Source organism: Homo sapiens, chromosome 11, assembly GCF_000001405.40.
Source record: "Homo sapiens chromosome 11, GRCh38.p14 Primary Assembly".
Lineage (NCBI taxonomy): Eukaryota > Metazoa > Chordata > Mammalia > Primates > Hominidae > Homo > Homo sapiens.
In genome coordinates, this window is record NC_000011.10 from 25,498,570 (window position 1) to 25,515,876 (window position 17,307).

Here is a 17,307-nt window from a genome sequence, read left to right on the forward strand (position 1 = left end):
AAATTCTCTTTTTTGGTTGTGTCTCTGCCCGGCTTTGGTATCAGGATGATGCTGGCCTCATAAAATGAGTCAGGGAGGATTCCCTCTTCTTCTGTTGTTTGGAATAGTTTCAGAAGGAATGGTACCAGTTCCTCCTTGTACCTCTGGTAGAATTTGGCTGTGAATCCATCTGGTCCTGGACTCTTTTTGGTTCGTAAGCTATTGATGTTTGCCACAATTTTAGCTCCTGTTATTGGTCTATTCAGAGATTCAACTTCTTCCTGGTTTAGTCTTGGGAGAGTGTATGTGTCGAGGAATTTATCCATTTCTTCTAGATTTTCTAGTTTATTTGCATAGAGGTGTTTGTAGTATTCTCTGATGGTAGTTTGTATTTCTGTGGGATCGGTGGTGATATCCCCTTTATCATTTTTTATTGCATCTATTTGATTCTTCACACTTTTTTTCTTTGTTAGTCTTGCTAGCGGTCTATCAATTTTGTTGATCGTTTCAAAAAACCAGCTCCTGGATTCACTAATTTTTTGAAGGGTTTTGTGTGTCTCTATTTCCTTCAGTTCTGCTCTGATTTTAGTTATTTCTTGTCTTCTGCTAGCTTTTGAATGTGTTTGCTCTTGCTTTTCTAGTTCTTTTAATTGTGATGTTAGGGTGCCAATTTTGGATCTTTCCTGCTTTCTCTTGTGGGCATTTAGTGCTATAAATTTCCCTCTACACACTGCTTTGAATGCATCACAGAGTTTCTGGTATGTTGTGTCTTTGTTCTCGTTGGTTTCAAAGAACTTCTTTATTTCTGCCTTCCTTTCGTTACGTACCCAGTAGTCATTCAGGAGCAGGTTGTTCAGTTTCCATGTAGTTGAGCGGGTTTGAGTGAGATTCTTAATCCTGAGTTCTAGTTTGATTGCACTGTGGTCTGAGAGATAGTTTTTTTTAATTTCTGTTCTTTTACATTTGCTGAGGAGAGCTTCACTTCCAAGTATGTGGTCAATTTTGGAATAGGTGTGGTGTGGTGCTGAAAAAAATGTATATTCTGTTGATTTGGGGTGGAGAGTTCTGTAGATGTCTATTAAGTCCGCTTGGTGCAGAGCTGAGTTCAATTCCTGGGTATCCTTGTTGACTTTCTGTCTCGTTGATCTGTCTAATGTTGACAGTGGGGTGTTAAAGTCTCCCATTATTAATGTGTGGGAGTCTAAGTCTCTTGGTAAGTCACTCAGGACTTGCTTTATGAATCTGGGTGCTCCTGTATTGGGTGCATATATATTTAGGATAGTTAGCTCTTCTTGTTGAGTTGATCCCTTTACCATTATGTAATGGCCTTCTTTGTCTCTTTTGATCTTTGTTGGTTTAAAGTCTGTTTTATCAGATACTAGGATTGCAACCCCTGCGTTTTTTTGTTTTCCATTTGCTTGGTAGATCTTCCTCCATCCTTTTATTTTAAGCCGTATGTGTGTCTCTGCACATGAGATGGGTTTTCTGAATACTGCACACTGATAAGTCTTGACTTTTTATCCAATTTGCCAGTCTGTGTCTTTTAATTGGAGCATTTAGCCCATTTACATTTAAAGTTAATATTGTTATGTGTGAATTTCATCATGTCATTATGATGTTAGCTGGTTATTTTGCTCATTAGTTGATGCAGTTTCTTCCTAGTCTCGATGGTCTTTACATTTTGGCATGATTTTGCAGCGGCTGGTATCGGTTGTTCCTTTCCATGTTTAGTGCTTCCTTCAGGTTCTCTTTTAGGGCAGGCCTGGTGGTAACAGAATCTCTCAGCATTTGCTTGTCTGTAAAGTATTTTATTTCTCCTTCACATATGAAGCTTAGTTTGGCTGGATATGAAATTCTGGGTTGAAAATTCTTTTCTTTAAGAATGTTGAATATTGGCCCCTACTCTCTTCTGGCTTGTAGAGTTTCTGCTGAGAGATCTGCTGTTAGTCTGATGGGCTTCCCTTTGAGGGTAACCCGACCTTTGGCTGCCCTTAACATTTTTTCCTTCATTTCAACTTTGGTGAATCTGACAATTATGTGTCTTGGAGTTGCTCTACTCGAGGAGTATCTTTGTGGCATTCTGTGTATTTCCTGAATCTGAATGTTGGCCTGCCTTGCTAGATTGGGGAAGTTCTCCTGGATAATATCCTGCAGAGTGTTTTCCAACTTGGTTCCATTCTCCCCATCACTTTCAGGTACACCAGTCAGACGTAGATTTGGTCTTTTCACATAGTCCCATATTTCTTGGAGGCTTTGCTCGTTTCTTTTTATTCTTTTTTCTCTAAACTTCCCTTCTCACTTCATTTCATTCATTTCATCTTCCATCACTGATACCCTTTCTTCCAGTTGATCGAATTTCCTACTGAAGCTTCTGCATTCTTCACGTAGTTCTCGAGCCTTGGTTTTCAGCTCCATCAGCTCCTTTAAGCACTTCTCTGTATTGGTTATTCTAGTTATACATTCTTCTAAATTTTCTTCAAAGTTTTCAACGTCTTTGCCTTTGGTTTGAATTTCCTCCCAGAGCTCGGAGTAATTTGATCGTCTGAAGCCTTCTTCTCTGAGGTCGTCAAAGTCATTCTCCGTCCAGCTTTGTTCGTTGCTGGTTAGGAACTGCGTTCCTTTGAAGGAGGAGAGGCACTCTGCTTTTTAGAGTTTCCAGTTTTTCTGCTCTGTTTTTTCCCCATCTTTGTGGTTTTATCTACTTTTGGTCTTTGATGATGGTGATGTACAGATGGGTTTTTGGTGTGGATGTCCTTTCTGTTTGTTAGTTTTCCTTCTAACAGACAGGACCCTCAGCTGCAGGTCTGTTGGAGTACCCGGCCCTGTGAGGTGTCAGTCTGCCCCTGCTGGGTGGTGCCTCCCAGTTAGGCTGCTCTGGGGTCAGGGGTCAGGGACCCACTTGAGGAGGCAGTCTGCCTGTTCTCAGATCTCCAGCTGTGTGCTGGGAGAACCACTGCTCTCTTTAAAGCTGTCAGAGGGGGACATTTAAGTCTGCAGAGGTTACTGCTGTCTTTTTGTTTATCTGTGCCCTGCCCTTAGAGGTGGAGCCTACATAGGCAGGCAGGCCTCCTTGAGCTGTGGTGGGCTCCCCCCAGTTCGTGCTTCCTGGCTGCTTTGTTTACCTAATCAAGCCTGGGCAATGGTGGGCGCCCCTCCCCCAGCCTCGCTGCTGCCTTGCAGTTTGATCTCAGACTGCTGTGCTAGCAATCAGCGAGACTCCCTGGGTGTAGGACCATCCGAGCCATTTGTGGGATATAATCTCGTGGTGCGCTGTTTTTTAAGCCTGTGGGAAAAGCGCAGTATTCGGGTGGGAGTGACCCAATTCTCCTGGTGCTGTCTGTCACCCCTTTCTTTGACTAGGAAAGGGAACTCCCTGGCCCCTTGTGCTTCCTGAGTGAGTCAATGCGTCGCCCTGCTTCGGCTCGCGCACGGTGTGCGCACCCACTGACATGCGCCCACTGTCTGGCACTCCCTAGTGAGATGAACCCGGTACCTCAGATGGAAATGCAGAAATCACCCGTCTTCTGTGTCACTCACGCTGGGAGCTGTAAACCGGAGCTGTTCCTATTCAGCCATCTTGGCTCCTCCCCCTCGAAATTTCTTATGTTTAACAAAATTCTATAAGGAAAGATGGTGAGAAGAATAAGTCCCTCAGAGAAATAATAAGATACACTAATCTGTAGTAGTTCTATTATCAATTATCCTAAGAATCTCTGCTTAACTATCATTTTTAAATAATATTACTTTGATGCCTGTTTAATTAAAACATATAATTTAGAGTAATTGAAATAAAATTTTATCTATAAAAAAATTAAATTACCTCTTTCTGGGAAACTTTAATGCAGGTAGATAGTATCCTCTTAGTCTTGGTCAAAGGAAAGAACCTTAGTATAAAGAAAGATGATGTTCAGGAGAATTTTGTACGCATAGTCTGCAGCAGTCACAATGCTGATAGAAAATAGAGAGCACACTTAAATATTTTAGCCAAAGAGAATTTAATGAAGAGTTAGTTGCAGCAGCTAAAATATCTAACAAGTAATATGAAGCCCCTAGGGTCTGGCGACATCAAGAAGTTGTTACCACATTTAGATAGAAAGGAACGAGAGGAACTAATAATTACTGAAGTTTAATGAGCTTGGAGAGAGCATAAAGCAATTTTAAAAAATGAGCCACCCTATAAAAGCTTTTACCTAGAATTTGGTAGAACCACCACTGTGTTTCTTAGTGGAAATGTTCCTAGCTTGACCAGTAGGCCTCCATATCCACTGACTGAAAAATAAAAGGAGTAGGAAACAAAATATATTTAGAAGAGAGACTTTGAAATATCTTGTTGTTATTGTATTGCTGTGTGCTTTTCTCTTCTGAAGTGTCAATGTTTGCCTTATATGTTTAAATGCTTTTATGTTGGGTGCTTATATATTTATAATTGCTATGTCGTCCTGTTGAATTACCCTATTTATCTTTATGCAGTGACCTTCTTTGTTCTTATGATAGTTTTGGATTTAGAGTCAGCTTTTCGCCCCGGTCTGTTTTGGTCATTATTTGCATTAAATAACTTTCTCCAATTCTTTACTTTCAGCCTATGATTGTCCTTAAAATCTAAACTGAGTCTGTAGTGGACAGTATATTCTTTAGTTGTTGTTGTTTTTCATTTAGCCACCCTATGTCATTTAATTGGGGAATTTATTCCATTACATTTCAAGTAATTATTTGTAGTTAAAAAATTGCTATTGCTATTTTGTTAATTACTTTCTGTTTATTTTGTAGTTTTCTTGTCCATCTCTTGCTAATTTTGTTGTGGTTTGATTTACTTTGGTAGTGTTTTTTTTATCTTTTCCCTTTATCTTTCATGTATCTACTGTAGATTTTTCTTGGTGATTATCATGAGGCTTGTGTAAACATTTTCTAGCTATACAAGTCTTTTTAACTCTTTTCCCATTGGCCCCAAGAATACTGCTCCCCCTACTTCAAATGCAAGTCCCTGGTTGGGACCTGAAATTGTAGGTGTGGGACATGATGGTGGGCCCATTTAAGTCTTTAATTAATTTGAGTTAATTTTTGTGTATGATGAGAGATAGGGGTCCAGCTTCATTCATCTTCGTATGAATAGCCAATTATTACAATATCATTTACTGAATAGAGAGTACCTTCTGAAATTGTTTTTGTCAATTTTGTTGAAAATCAGATATATGTAGGTGTGTAGCTTTATTTCTGGGTTCTGTGTTCTGTTTCCTTGGTCTATGTGTCTGTTTTTGTACCAGTACCATGCTGCTTTGGTTACTGTAGCCGTATATTACAGCTTGTAGTTGGGTAATGTGATGCCTCTGGCTTTGTTCCTGTTGCTTAGGATTGCTTTGGCTATTCAGACTTTTTAATGGTTCTAGATACATTTTAAATAGTTTTTTTCCAATTCTGTGAAAAATTACATTGGTAGTTTGATGGGAATTGCATATTATCTGTAGATTACTTTGGACAGTATGGCCATTTTAACAATATTGATTATTCTATCCCATAAGTATGGAATTTTTTTTATTTGTTTATATCATATATGATTTCTTTCAGCATTGTTTTGTAGTTATTATAGAGATCTTTCACTTTCTTGGTTAGATGTGTTCCCAGGTATTTTATTTTTTGTGGATGATGTATAAATGGCATTGTGTTGTTGATTTGGCTTTCAGCTTGAATATTATTGGTGTATAAAGATATTACTGATGTTTGTACATTGATTATGTATCCTAAAACTTTATTAAAGTTTGTTATAAGTTCTAGGAGCCTTTTGGCAAAATCTTTAAGTGTTATGTTTTCTTTTCTAGAGAATAATGTAATCAGTGAAAAGAGATAATTTGTCTTATTTTCCTATTTGGAGGCCTCTTATTTCTTTTGTCTGATTGACCTGGGTATGACTTGTAGTACTATATTGAATAGGAGTGGTGAAAATGGGGATCCTTGTCTTATGTTCTTAAGGGGAATCTTCCAGCTTTTACCTATTCACTACTATGTTGGTTATGGGTGTGTCATAGATGGATTTCATTATTTTGAGGTATGTTCCTTGAATGCTTAATCCGTGGAGGGTTTTCATCATGAAGGGATTTGGGATATTATTGAAAGCTTTATCTACATCTATTGAGATGATCATATGATTTTTGTTTTTAATTTTGTTTATATTGTGAATTACATTTATTGATTTGTATATATTGAACAAAACTTGCCTCCCAGGAATAAAACTCACTTGATCATAGTGAATTAACTTCTTGATGTGCTCCTAAATCTGGTTTGCTCACATTTTCTTAAGCAGTTTTTCATCCTTGTTCATCAGGGATATTGGCCAGTAGTTTTCGTTTTTTCACTTTGTCATTACTAGATTTTAATGTCAGAATGATGCTGATTTTGCAGAATGAATTAGGGAGGTGACCCTCGTTCTCAATTTCAGAATAGTTTCAGTAGGATTGGTACAAGCTATCGTTTGTACGTCTGGTATAATTTAGCTATGAATCTATCTGGTCTGGGCTTTCTTCGGTTAGTAGGTTTTTAAATTCTGATTCAATTGTGGGATTCATTATTGGTCTTTTCAGGATTTCAATTTCTTCCTGATTCAATCTTAGGAGGTTGTGTGTTTTCAAGAATTTATCCATTTCCTCTATATTTTCTAGTTTCTTGGCATACAGGTGTTCATAGTAACGTCTAAGTATATTTTGTATTCCTATGGGATGAGTTGTAATGTCATCTTTTTCATTTCTGATTATGCATATTTAGATCTCTCTTTTTTTCTATGTTAGTTTCACTCGTGGTCTATCAAGTTTATCCTTCGGAAAAAAACATTTTCATTTTGTTCACCTTTTTATGGATTTGTGGGTCTCAATTTTGTTTTAGCTCTGCGAGGATTGTAGTTATTTCTTGTCTTCTGCTAGCTTTTGGTTTAGTTTGTTCTTGTTTTGCTAGTTACTCTAGGTACAATATTAATTTTTAATTTGAGATATTTCTAACTTCTTGATGTAGGTGTTCGGTGCTATAAATTTCTTGTTAATACTCCTTTTGCTTCATCCACAAGATTTGGTTTGTTGTCTCTTATATCAAAGAATATTTTTATTTCTGCCCTAATTTCATTGTTTACCCAAAAGTCATTCAGAAATAAATTGGTTAGTTTCCATATAATTGTATGTTTTTGAGATATCCTCTTGAAGGATATCTCTTGGTATTGATTTCTAATTTAATTCCACTGTGGTCTGAAAATATGCTTGATACACCTTTTATAGTTTTGAATTTATCGAGGCTTGCTTTATTTCCAAGCATGTGGTCAATCTTAAAGTATGCTTTATGTGCAAATGAGAGGAATGTGTATTCTGTGGTTCTTGGGTGAACTATCCCATAGATATCTATTACATCCAACTGGTAAAATGTCAGATTTCAGTCCAGAATTTCTTGGTTAGTTTTCTTCTTCAGTGGTCTATCTAATGGTGCCAGTGGGGTATTGAAGTCATCCACTATTATTGTGTGGCTGTCTAAGTCTTTTTGTAGGTCTAGAAGTACTTGTATAATGAATTTGTGTATTCCAGTGTTGGCTGAACATATATTTGGGACAGTTAAGGCCTTCTTGTTGACTTGAACCCTTTTTCATCATATAATGCCCTTCTTTGGATGTTTTTACTGTTATTGGTTAAAAGTCTGCATTCTCTGATATAAGAATAGCCACCTGTACCCCATTTTGTCTTCTGTCTATGTGATAGATTTTCTTGCTCTCTTTGCCTTGAGCCTATGGGTGTTGTTATATGTGAGATGGGTCTCCTGAAGATTGCAAAAGGTTGGGTCTTGTTATTTTATCCAACTTGCCTCTCTGTGCCTTTTAAGTGAAATGTTCAGAACATTTACATTAAAGGTTAATATTGATATGTTAGGTTTTAATCCTGGTGTGGTATTGCTAGCTGGTTGCTTTGTAGTCTTGATTGTATTTGCTTTATAAGGTCTGTGGGTTGTATAATTATGTATACATGTTTCTATGCTAGCAGGCATTGTTCTTTTGTTTATGTGTTTATTGCTCCCTTAAGTATCTCTTGCAAGGCTTGTTTAATGGTAATAAATACCCTCTGGCTTTGATGAAACTGAATTCAAACTTGGACTCTAGAGGGTACTGAATGTAACCCAGAATTGGCCAATCTGACCTCCATTTCCACAGCAGCAATCACATTTTCAGTGATTGATCCTGACCCAAACCAGGCCAATAGAATTAATCTTAGGACTTTGGCTAAGATTATTGGGAAGGCAAGTCTTCTTTCTGCTGAGATTTTGGATGCAGTAGAATTTCATCTTACGGCTGGTGAACATTTTTGTTAGTCAAACAAAGTCTGACTTAGAAAGAAATTTTCCAACAAAAAGGAAAATTATGTGGAGAGAAATGATTTACAAATAATAATAAATGTAAAATATTATTTGTTTTAAATTTCCTATAACAAATCAATTTTTCCATAATGCCTTTGTTAATTTTTCTACCCTTTTATATTATAACCAAACTATGGTTATAATTAAAAAACAAACATAATTTTGACATTTATTGACTGAACTTTTCAGTTGTATTAATGTACAAAATGAAAAGGAAACAAGAAAGACATGCAAAATCTTTATTTGTTCATCACAGATACAAATGAGTTTTACTGAATTACATGAAATATTGAATGCTAGAAGACTATTTCCTCAATTTTTGTGTTATCCCTATGTAATAGCTAATGACAGTGCACTTTTAGTTTAATTTACACTTTATACTTTTCCTGTCAGTAGACACAATCAATAGAATCAAGCTCTAACTTGTAACATTTACCAATTTACTATTTTATAAATTTGTAAATTTTCACAATGGCCTATTTTAACCTACTAATATGATATTACTGAACATTGTACACTGGAAGAGAGCTGTATTTTCACCTTATATATACAATAAAGTTATTTCAATTGTACTGATTATATTAAACTTAGTAATATAATTAGGAAATTTAGAATTTCTGAGTATGTATTATCTTTATTTTTTAAATATACACTTAAATGTATATTTAAGTGTAAATTTAGACATATATTTTAAAATAATGGCTATGCTAATAAATTTAACAATTTTAAAAATCCCCTAAATTTAATAATTTTCATACTAGACGTCTTTTTAGAGTTACAGTTTCTAGACTTTACAGTAGTTACTTTTGAGTAGCAAATGAGATAAATTAAAAAGAAAATTATAATTTAATTTCAATGAAAAGGAAAAGTCCATTTGGTACCAGTAAATTAATGATGGTACTTAATCTCTTTTCATATCAGTTTCCTTATATGTAAAATAAAATTTATAAAGTTATACTCTTTATGAGAATACTTGCAGAATTAAATCAGGATCATGAAATTTTTTAACATAGTTCATTGATATAAACATCGAACTGTCTATCATTATCATTACTGTAATTATAACCAATTACTTTAGGTCCTGCAGTTAAGGACATTAGCTCCTAAGGTAGTGCCTACTCTTTTGCTCATAGTGTGAGAAATACAAGTTTGGCCCATTAACTTGTCTGTGCAAAGTAGTATCCTTTTAATAGATTCACTCATAAGGCTTCTGTGACATGCTGTTTTCTGGCTGAAACTTAATTTGCAGTTGTGAAACTCCAGCCAACTTCTAATCCTTAGTTCTCTGAACCCTTCATACATTTAGGTAATTCCTAGTACCTTCAAAATGTTTCTTTGCATGTATTATCTATTGCCCAATTATTTACTCGCAATAATTCCCCTGGGAAATCCTGTCATTGGATTAAGGAGTTTATGTGTTATAGACAGATTCATTACTGATGGACAAGCAAATAAACATGTAAATAATCTACTCATTTTTTAAATGCAAATCAGCTGTAAGTTTCATTTATCCCTCTGCCTAGGAGCATTGTGTTAGGTAAGATTGGAGTTAGGCTGATTGATTCAACATGGAGAGTTATTCAAACATGGAGCCTGCCCTTCAATAGTGTTTCAATCACAGGTTGAAATTATTCATAAGGAAAGCATTCATTGAGTGTCCTTTTTCTCCAAATTCAAGTTAAAACTGGATAAAGTAACTTTATACATATACAATTTTATAAACTGTAAATTTAAATAGAAGTGTTTACAAGGTATTATTTCTAAAAAAAATCAAAATAGTTCTTTAATAAATTAGCCTAAATATAAATGTTTTTAAAATACAGTCAGTATTAAATCATTACATGATATTTTATTATATGGATTGAGATTTACAGTTGTAGATTTTGTAATAGAATCTTCCTCACTTTTTAAACTTCATACTCAGGTAATCTTAGGTTCCTCTGGGTGAAATTATAGTCTTTAAATATCCTCATTCTGGTCATGATACTGATTCACTAAATAAAAGGGTTTATTAGTTTCAAGGTCCATTTCTGAATCTTTAATTCACTTTGTCAGTGGACTTAAAGCATTTTTTAAATAAATTATTCTTCCCAAACTGAAGTGTTACTACATGTGGAATGTATTAGAGCAACAGTCAACGTAAGCAGATAAGAAACTTTAGATAATATGACAAGGGTTAAAACTTGAAATAATTGTTCCACAGTCATAATTTTGATACATGCAGGGGCTAGGATCTTGAAGTAATCATTTTGAATCAATACATTTTTATTTTTTTACTTAAAATGTACATATCAGAATTATAAAATATACTAAATAAAATGATAAAAATTTATATAATATAAACTAAGTTAAATAAGATGTGCTTGGCACAAGAATTGCATAGATTCTAAGAGATATGATTAAGATTTTTTGATAAATAAGGTAAGAGGAAGCTTGATGTTATAAAGAGAAAAGAGATAAAAAGTACAAATATCGATTCACATATTTCCTTTAAAAATCTTAGCACATAAAATGTAACAATGAAATCTCAAACCTTAGAAATGAATTCTGGTCTAATGGGGACAATGTTGACATTTGTGTAACATACAGCTAATGTTGGCAGGTCAAAAAATTGTGAAATGTACTGATGAGATCTAGTATAAAATTACTGTGAATAGAGCTAATGACAGATTTTTGGTATGTTAAGAAAAGAAATTAAATTTCCCACTGCTTTCACTGAGAGTAAATCCACATATCTAGACTTGGGCATTTTAGTATATTCATTTTTTTTTTCAAAATGTTCACTGTCCCTCTCCTCCTCTTTGGAAAGGTTATTTTAACAGTTAGGTTGATCATGCATGTTTTGTAGTCAATGGAGCATTAACAGATATGAGGTGAGCAGAGACTTAAAATGTGCTTGTGCTATTTGGCTTGTCTTTTGCAACTCTGCTATATCCATGAGAAAGTAACTGTTTCTCAGATAGTCATTACCCTTCAATCTGAAACCTACAATAAACACATCCTGAGCAGATCCGAATGAAACTTATAGCTAAATATGCAGCTAGAAGCAGAGTCTCCCAACCAAACCTAGCCTGTATCGGTAGTTACTCCAGCCATTATACAACTGTGTGACATAGAATAAGTTATTGTTCCTTTAAGTAACTGAGTTTGTATAGTTTGTTATGCAGTATTTTACCCAATAATATATGTTAGTCAGAAAAAGGACATGTTACTGTAATAAAAACCTCAAATATGTGGCAGTGGAATTTGATAACAGGTGGAGAGTGAGAAGGTTGTTAAGCAACCTATCTTTATCTGAATTATTACTTAGAGAAAAGAAAAATAGTGTAAGAGTTTATTATCCAACTGTATTAAGAAATCTTTGAAGGGTTATGCAAGAGGGACAATTGAAAACATAAGGTTATTGTTAAACTTACACATAAGGATGACACTAAAATATGTAATAACTGGAAAAGAATGGGGATACAGCCTACATGGGTACAACAAATCCAAATGGATTTTGGCTATGAACAACTGCTATGGCTATAATGGTTAAAATCAAATTTAACACATATTTCAATTCCATATTGCTTATCACTCCACAGATTAGACAAATTCTGCTGTGTTGATCAAAACAAAAGACAACAGGAGCCCCCACCTTCCCACAGACACAGCAGGAGCCTTAACCAGCTGTACTAGCTGTAGCAGGCCTGTTGCCTGTGGATCCAGAAGCAGCCCCACCCACTCACAGACCCTGAAACCAACCCTGTCCAACCATAGATACACTCCCAGCCTCACCTTCTCCCTACCTGTCTATGAACCAGCAGCCTGGTCCACATATGGATCCCTGACAGCAGACCTATCCATCCGCAGATCCTGGCAGTAGGCCCACACTTGCAGTAGGACTTCCTACAAATAATTCCACTAGGCTTACCCATAGATACCGCCAGTCAACCCCCAGAATCTCTGATAAGGCTGACTGATTAAGGTCTTTCCTTAGCAAAACTAGTTGGTGAAGCCTGGAAAACATGACTGCCTATTCAAATGCACAGATGTCAATGCAAAGGCATGTGAATCATGAAGAATCAGAAAGCATGACACCACCGAGGAAACCTAATAAAGCTCCAGTAACTGATGTTAAACAAATGGAGATTCACAAACTGATTGTTATAGAATTCAAAAATAACCATCTAGAAAAAAGCTTAATGAGGAACAAAACACAGATACAAAATGAAATCAGGAAAACTATGCATGAACAAAATGAGAAGTGTGACAAAGAAATACAAACAATAATGATTAACCAAATAGAAATCAAACAGAAATCCTGGAACTAAGGAGTACAATTACTGAACCGAAAAATGAAATAGAGATCTTCAAGAAGAAAGAATCAATGGACTCAAAGATAGGTCATTTAAAATTATTCAATTAGAGGAATAAAGAGAAAAAAATAAAAAGACTGAAGAAAGCTTATAGGACCTGAGTGGAATCATCAAATAAAACAATATATGCTTTATGGGAAACCAAGAAGGAGAAAAAAAGGGAAAAGGGCAGAAAGCTTATTTAAAGAAATAATTTGAAATAACATTTCAAATCTAAGAAGGAAAATGGACATTCAGATTTATGAAGCCAAAAAATCTCCAGGAATTTGGATCTAAAGAGAACCACACTGAAATACAACATAATTAAATTTTCAAAAGTCAAAAATAAATAATTATAAAAATTATCAAGAGAAGAAAACGAATCATATAAAAGGGAATGTCTATGGATTATCATTGGATTTCTCAGCAGAAACCTTGGCAGTCGGGAGTGAGGTAATATATTCAAAGCACTGACAGAAAAGAAAAATGACAGCCAAAACTTCTGTAGCTAGCAACATTATCCTTTTATAATGAAGGAGAGATAAGGCTTTCCCAGACAACCAATGGGAAAGTTCATCACCACGAGATCTTTCTTACACAAGATATAAAGTTAGCTGTTCAAGTTGAAACAAAAAGACATTGAACAGTTATATTGTTTGGTTCTGTGTCCCCACCCAAATCTTATGTAAAATTGTAATTTTCATTGTTGGAGGAGGAGCCTGGTTGGAGGTGATTGAATCATGGGGGTGGTTTCAATGGCTTAGACCCATCCCCCTAATCCCGCTTTTTAAAAAGCGTGTTCACGTCCTCTTCTCCCCTCTCCTGCCACTATGTGAAGACATGTTTATTTCCCCCTCACCCTTCTGCCATAATTGTAAGTTTCCTGAGACCTTATCCTGTGACTGTGCCACCAGGTGCCCAGATGTTTTGTCAGAATTACTCTGGGTGTTTATGTGTAGGTGTTTTTGGATGAGTTTGAAATTTAAATCAATAGACCGAGTAAAGCAGGTTGTCCTTCATAATGTGAGTAGATGGGCACCATCCAATCAGTTGGGCTGAATACAACAAAAGGCTGATCCTCCTCTGAATAAGATTAAATTTCTCCTACCTGACTGTCTTTGATCTGGTACGTTGTTGTTGTTGTTGTTGTTGTTGTTGTTGTTGTTTTTCTGCCTTCAGACTTAAACTGAAATATAGGCTATTCCTGGGTCTGAAGCCTCCTATCCATTGGAAGAAACTACATCTTTTGCTCTCCTAAGATAAGTTATGTTCTCTAGATGAAATCTGGGACAATCATGTTCTCTCTTTGAAGAGACTGGAATTAGGACAAAGATTAGTTGAGTCAGTCTCACTGTGCATGTAAATATAGGAGCTCTGAAGGGTCATGTTTCTACCACATAGGTCACAGAAGACTACAGGCCAAAGGAGTGAAAGAAAGATAATTGATATTGATTTTTAGAGAGAAGCAAAGGCTGAAAAAAAGAATGTTAAATTTAATAGTCTCCAATTTCTTGTTTTTCCTGAGTTCTTTTCTGTAGTTCCTTCGATGAAAAACAGAATATCTTTACAAGAGATTACTAGTTTGTTTCAGATACTTTAAATTGGTTGCTACTAAAATTATCTTGATTTTATCCTGACTGAAATATTTCCTATGTTTAAATTCCCCAACATAATATAACCTAGGCAGAAACCATAGAGTGATTCAAGTCCTCTCTATCATAGTGTGTAAATGTAGCGGCAGTGCCAAATTCTCAAGACTGCATGTCTTTCACAGCTCACAATGATGTGACAAAAATATTAGTGTCCAAAGTAAATCATTTATTTTTTTCTATTTGTTATTAAAAATAAACTGTTGACAAATTAAATTTAGCAGAGGCTATTTGAGTAAAAAACAATGCATGAATTGGGGAGTACCCTGAATCAGAGGAAGTTCACAGGACCCCGGCCTAGCAATGTGAGCAGTCAGTGAACTTTTATAGAACGAAGACAGAAACAAAGTTGAGAAATCACCTGATTTATATATCTTCCTTATTTGGGCTGGTGTGATGAATTGGCTATCTACCTGCAAGTGGCTGAAACATGGCTGCTTGTGATTTACTAAAACTCAGGTGTTTTTTATACTTCTTAGGTTTCAGTTTGTTTACGTACTATGTTAGCTTGCAATTTGCTACGTAGGAAGTCAAGGTAAGAAGGCAGCCTTAGGCCAAGTGTAACTTAATTTTATATTTTGAAATAAGGCAATACAAAGATGAAAAGAGTCAAATAGGGAGTTTGTCTGCCTTGGTCAAATTCTAGTTTAATATAAACTCTCTGATTTTGCATGGCTTATTGTGTACCTTTGCACGTCTTTTCTTATATTTAAATTAGAAATAATAACCTGTCTCATAGGGTAGTTGTGAGATTTGATTTAAAAATGTAGCACACTTAGAAGAGTACCTTAGAAATAGCAAACATATAACAAATGTTAAATTTGTTCATTTTCTTAATGATCAAAAATAGTATATCCATTAGGGTTATTTGGCGATATCAATATAACCCGTTTGGCAAATTAAAAAATACACACACACATCCACCGCTCTCTCTGTCTCTCTTTACACACACACACACACACACACACACACATACACACAGACCCACACAGAGTTGGCTGTCCATATCTATGTCTTTGGCATCTGTGGATTAAAACAACTGTGAATCAAAAGTATTCAAAAAGAAAGTGTCTGTACTGAACATGTAAGTATTTCTTTGTCATTATTCCCTAAATAAAATTGTATAATAACTATTTTCATAGTTTTATATTGTATTCACTATTAGTAGTAATCTAGAGATTATATATATATTATATTAATAAAAATCATAACAGTGAAACAAAATCCAATAATATTACTAAAAGGCCCTAGGAAATAGTATATGAGCAGTGGTGTCAGGGTATTTGTATGTATTTCCAAAAAACCTAAAGCACACAAAAGTGTGTTTTCCCCATTGAGTTTTAAAGAAATTTATTTTCCTGTTTTTCATAAAACTTCAGTGGTAGAGAACTGGTTTTTGACAGATCATCTTGTGCATCTTAGACATGGACCTGTATCAAATAGCTCTTCTAAAATACTTTTGTGACAGTCTCATCCCGAAGCAGGCAGAAAAATAAGTGAAATAACAAGAAACAATTTGTTTATAGAAATTGTTTTTTCATTGATTGACATCTGAACTCAAAAGATATATCGTTTCATTTTCCCCTAGTAGGGTGAATCACATCTGGCAACCTAAATTCTACTAAGTCAAATATTCCTTGTTTTGTCTGATAAACTGGAAGATATTTTATATGTGAAGACACAAAGAGCATAGATTCATGTTCCAAATTAAAATTATCATGATTTGCCGTGCAATCTGTAACAAGCCAGTTAATATAGGTTTGTTGTGCCTCTTCACTAATTAGTAGATAACTTGAAAACTTTTGTCCAAAAATTAGAACCTTTGTAATATTTCTTAGTTTCCCCCTGCTCCTTTCAGCTTTCTGGAACTTATTTGTAGAGATTCTTTCTTTGACACCGACTAAAGTTATTAGCTAGAATATTAATAAGGAAGAAATATGCATTGAAAATAGAGAATAACAGAAATAATGATTTTTCTACTATAATTTGAAGCTTTAGAGTGGGGAAGGGAAAGTTGATTATTATGTCTATTCTATTGTATGATTTAAAAATAATTTCAAAGTTTCATTTTTTATATTTTGATAGTTTTATATAAACTAAGACAGAAATCAGTTGTTCAGCTGAAAGCAATGATTAAATCTTACAAATTAAATTATCTTAAAGAGAAAGTACTGCATTTCATTTTCAAAGATAAAATTCAATTGTGGTCAAACTAATAAGGCTTAGAATCCTTCATGTGTAGAAAAGAAATAGTGCTTAGAAATTTTCATCCAACAGATTTAGACATTGAAACCAAGATCTTTCACCTTTATAGCCAAGTTTTGGATACTTTAATTGTCCTCTATTATAGCTAAAATATCAAAGAAATGAAATCTCAACGAAAGCTTTTGGATGTTGGGTATGTTTCAAATTATTACCTGCTATGTTTAACTTTTTAAAATATGCAAAAAATTATGACCTTAATGTAAACATCTTAGTAAAGGGTTTCCACTTCTGGCAATATTATTGAAAGTCAAAGAGCAGTGGAAAAAAATGCAAGGATATTACTAAAAGGTATCGGAAAATAGTATCTAAGCAGTATTTGTTTTAGAAATGTTAATATAGAAGGCAAAAACAATATAGTATGTAGGTAACTCGTACTGCATTAAATATTGTATTGCTGAAACGAGACAGTTCCCTGATTCCCCTCACAGGACATGCGAAAGGGGTGTGACTCATCTGTTTCGTGGCCCCACAGCTCCAACCCTTACGGGGAGCATGCAGATGGGCAAGTGCAGAGGCCCGGGTGAGTGCTTAGGGCTCTTGGTCACGCGGTAGTGTCTAGGGGTGGGTGCCTGCAACCCCAGTGTTACCAAGCTGTTTCAGCTTTGCCGTCTGCAGACGTCTTGTGTATTAATCAGCTCAATGGACCCTCTACCTTATCGCAAGAGCAGCGGGACAGTGTGACAGCTTTCTGTATCCTGAGAACT

General features: G+C 35.2%; 1 long non-coding RNA gene across 2 annotated transcripts in view, besides 1 other annotated feature; it reads left to right on the plus strand.

Annotated features, from left to right (window-relative positions):
• The window catches only part of LINC02699 (long intergenic non-protein coding RNA 2699), a 470,852-nt gene that overhangs the window by 44,970 nt on the left and 408,575 nt on the right, over positions 1 to 17,307 (plus strand). The gene's annotated exons all lie outside the window — the stretch shown is intronic.
• Positions 3,266 to 3,861: an enhancer, noted in NCBI's record as "OCT4-NANOG-H3K27ac-H3K4me1 hESC enhancer chr11:25523381-25523976 (GRCh37/hg19 assembly coordinates)". NCBI's record gives its function as "activates a minimal SCP1, AML or CMV promoter by ChIP-STARR-seq in naive H9 embryonic stem cells {active_cell/tissue: H9 hESC(naive)}" and the evidence as "EXISTENCE:reporter gene assay evidence [ECO:0000049][PMID:30033119]".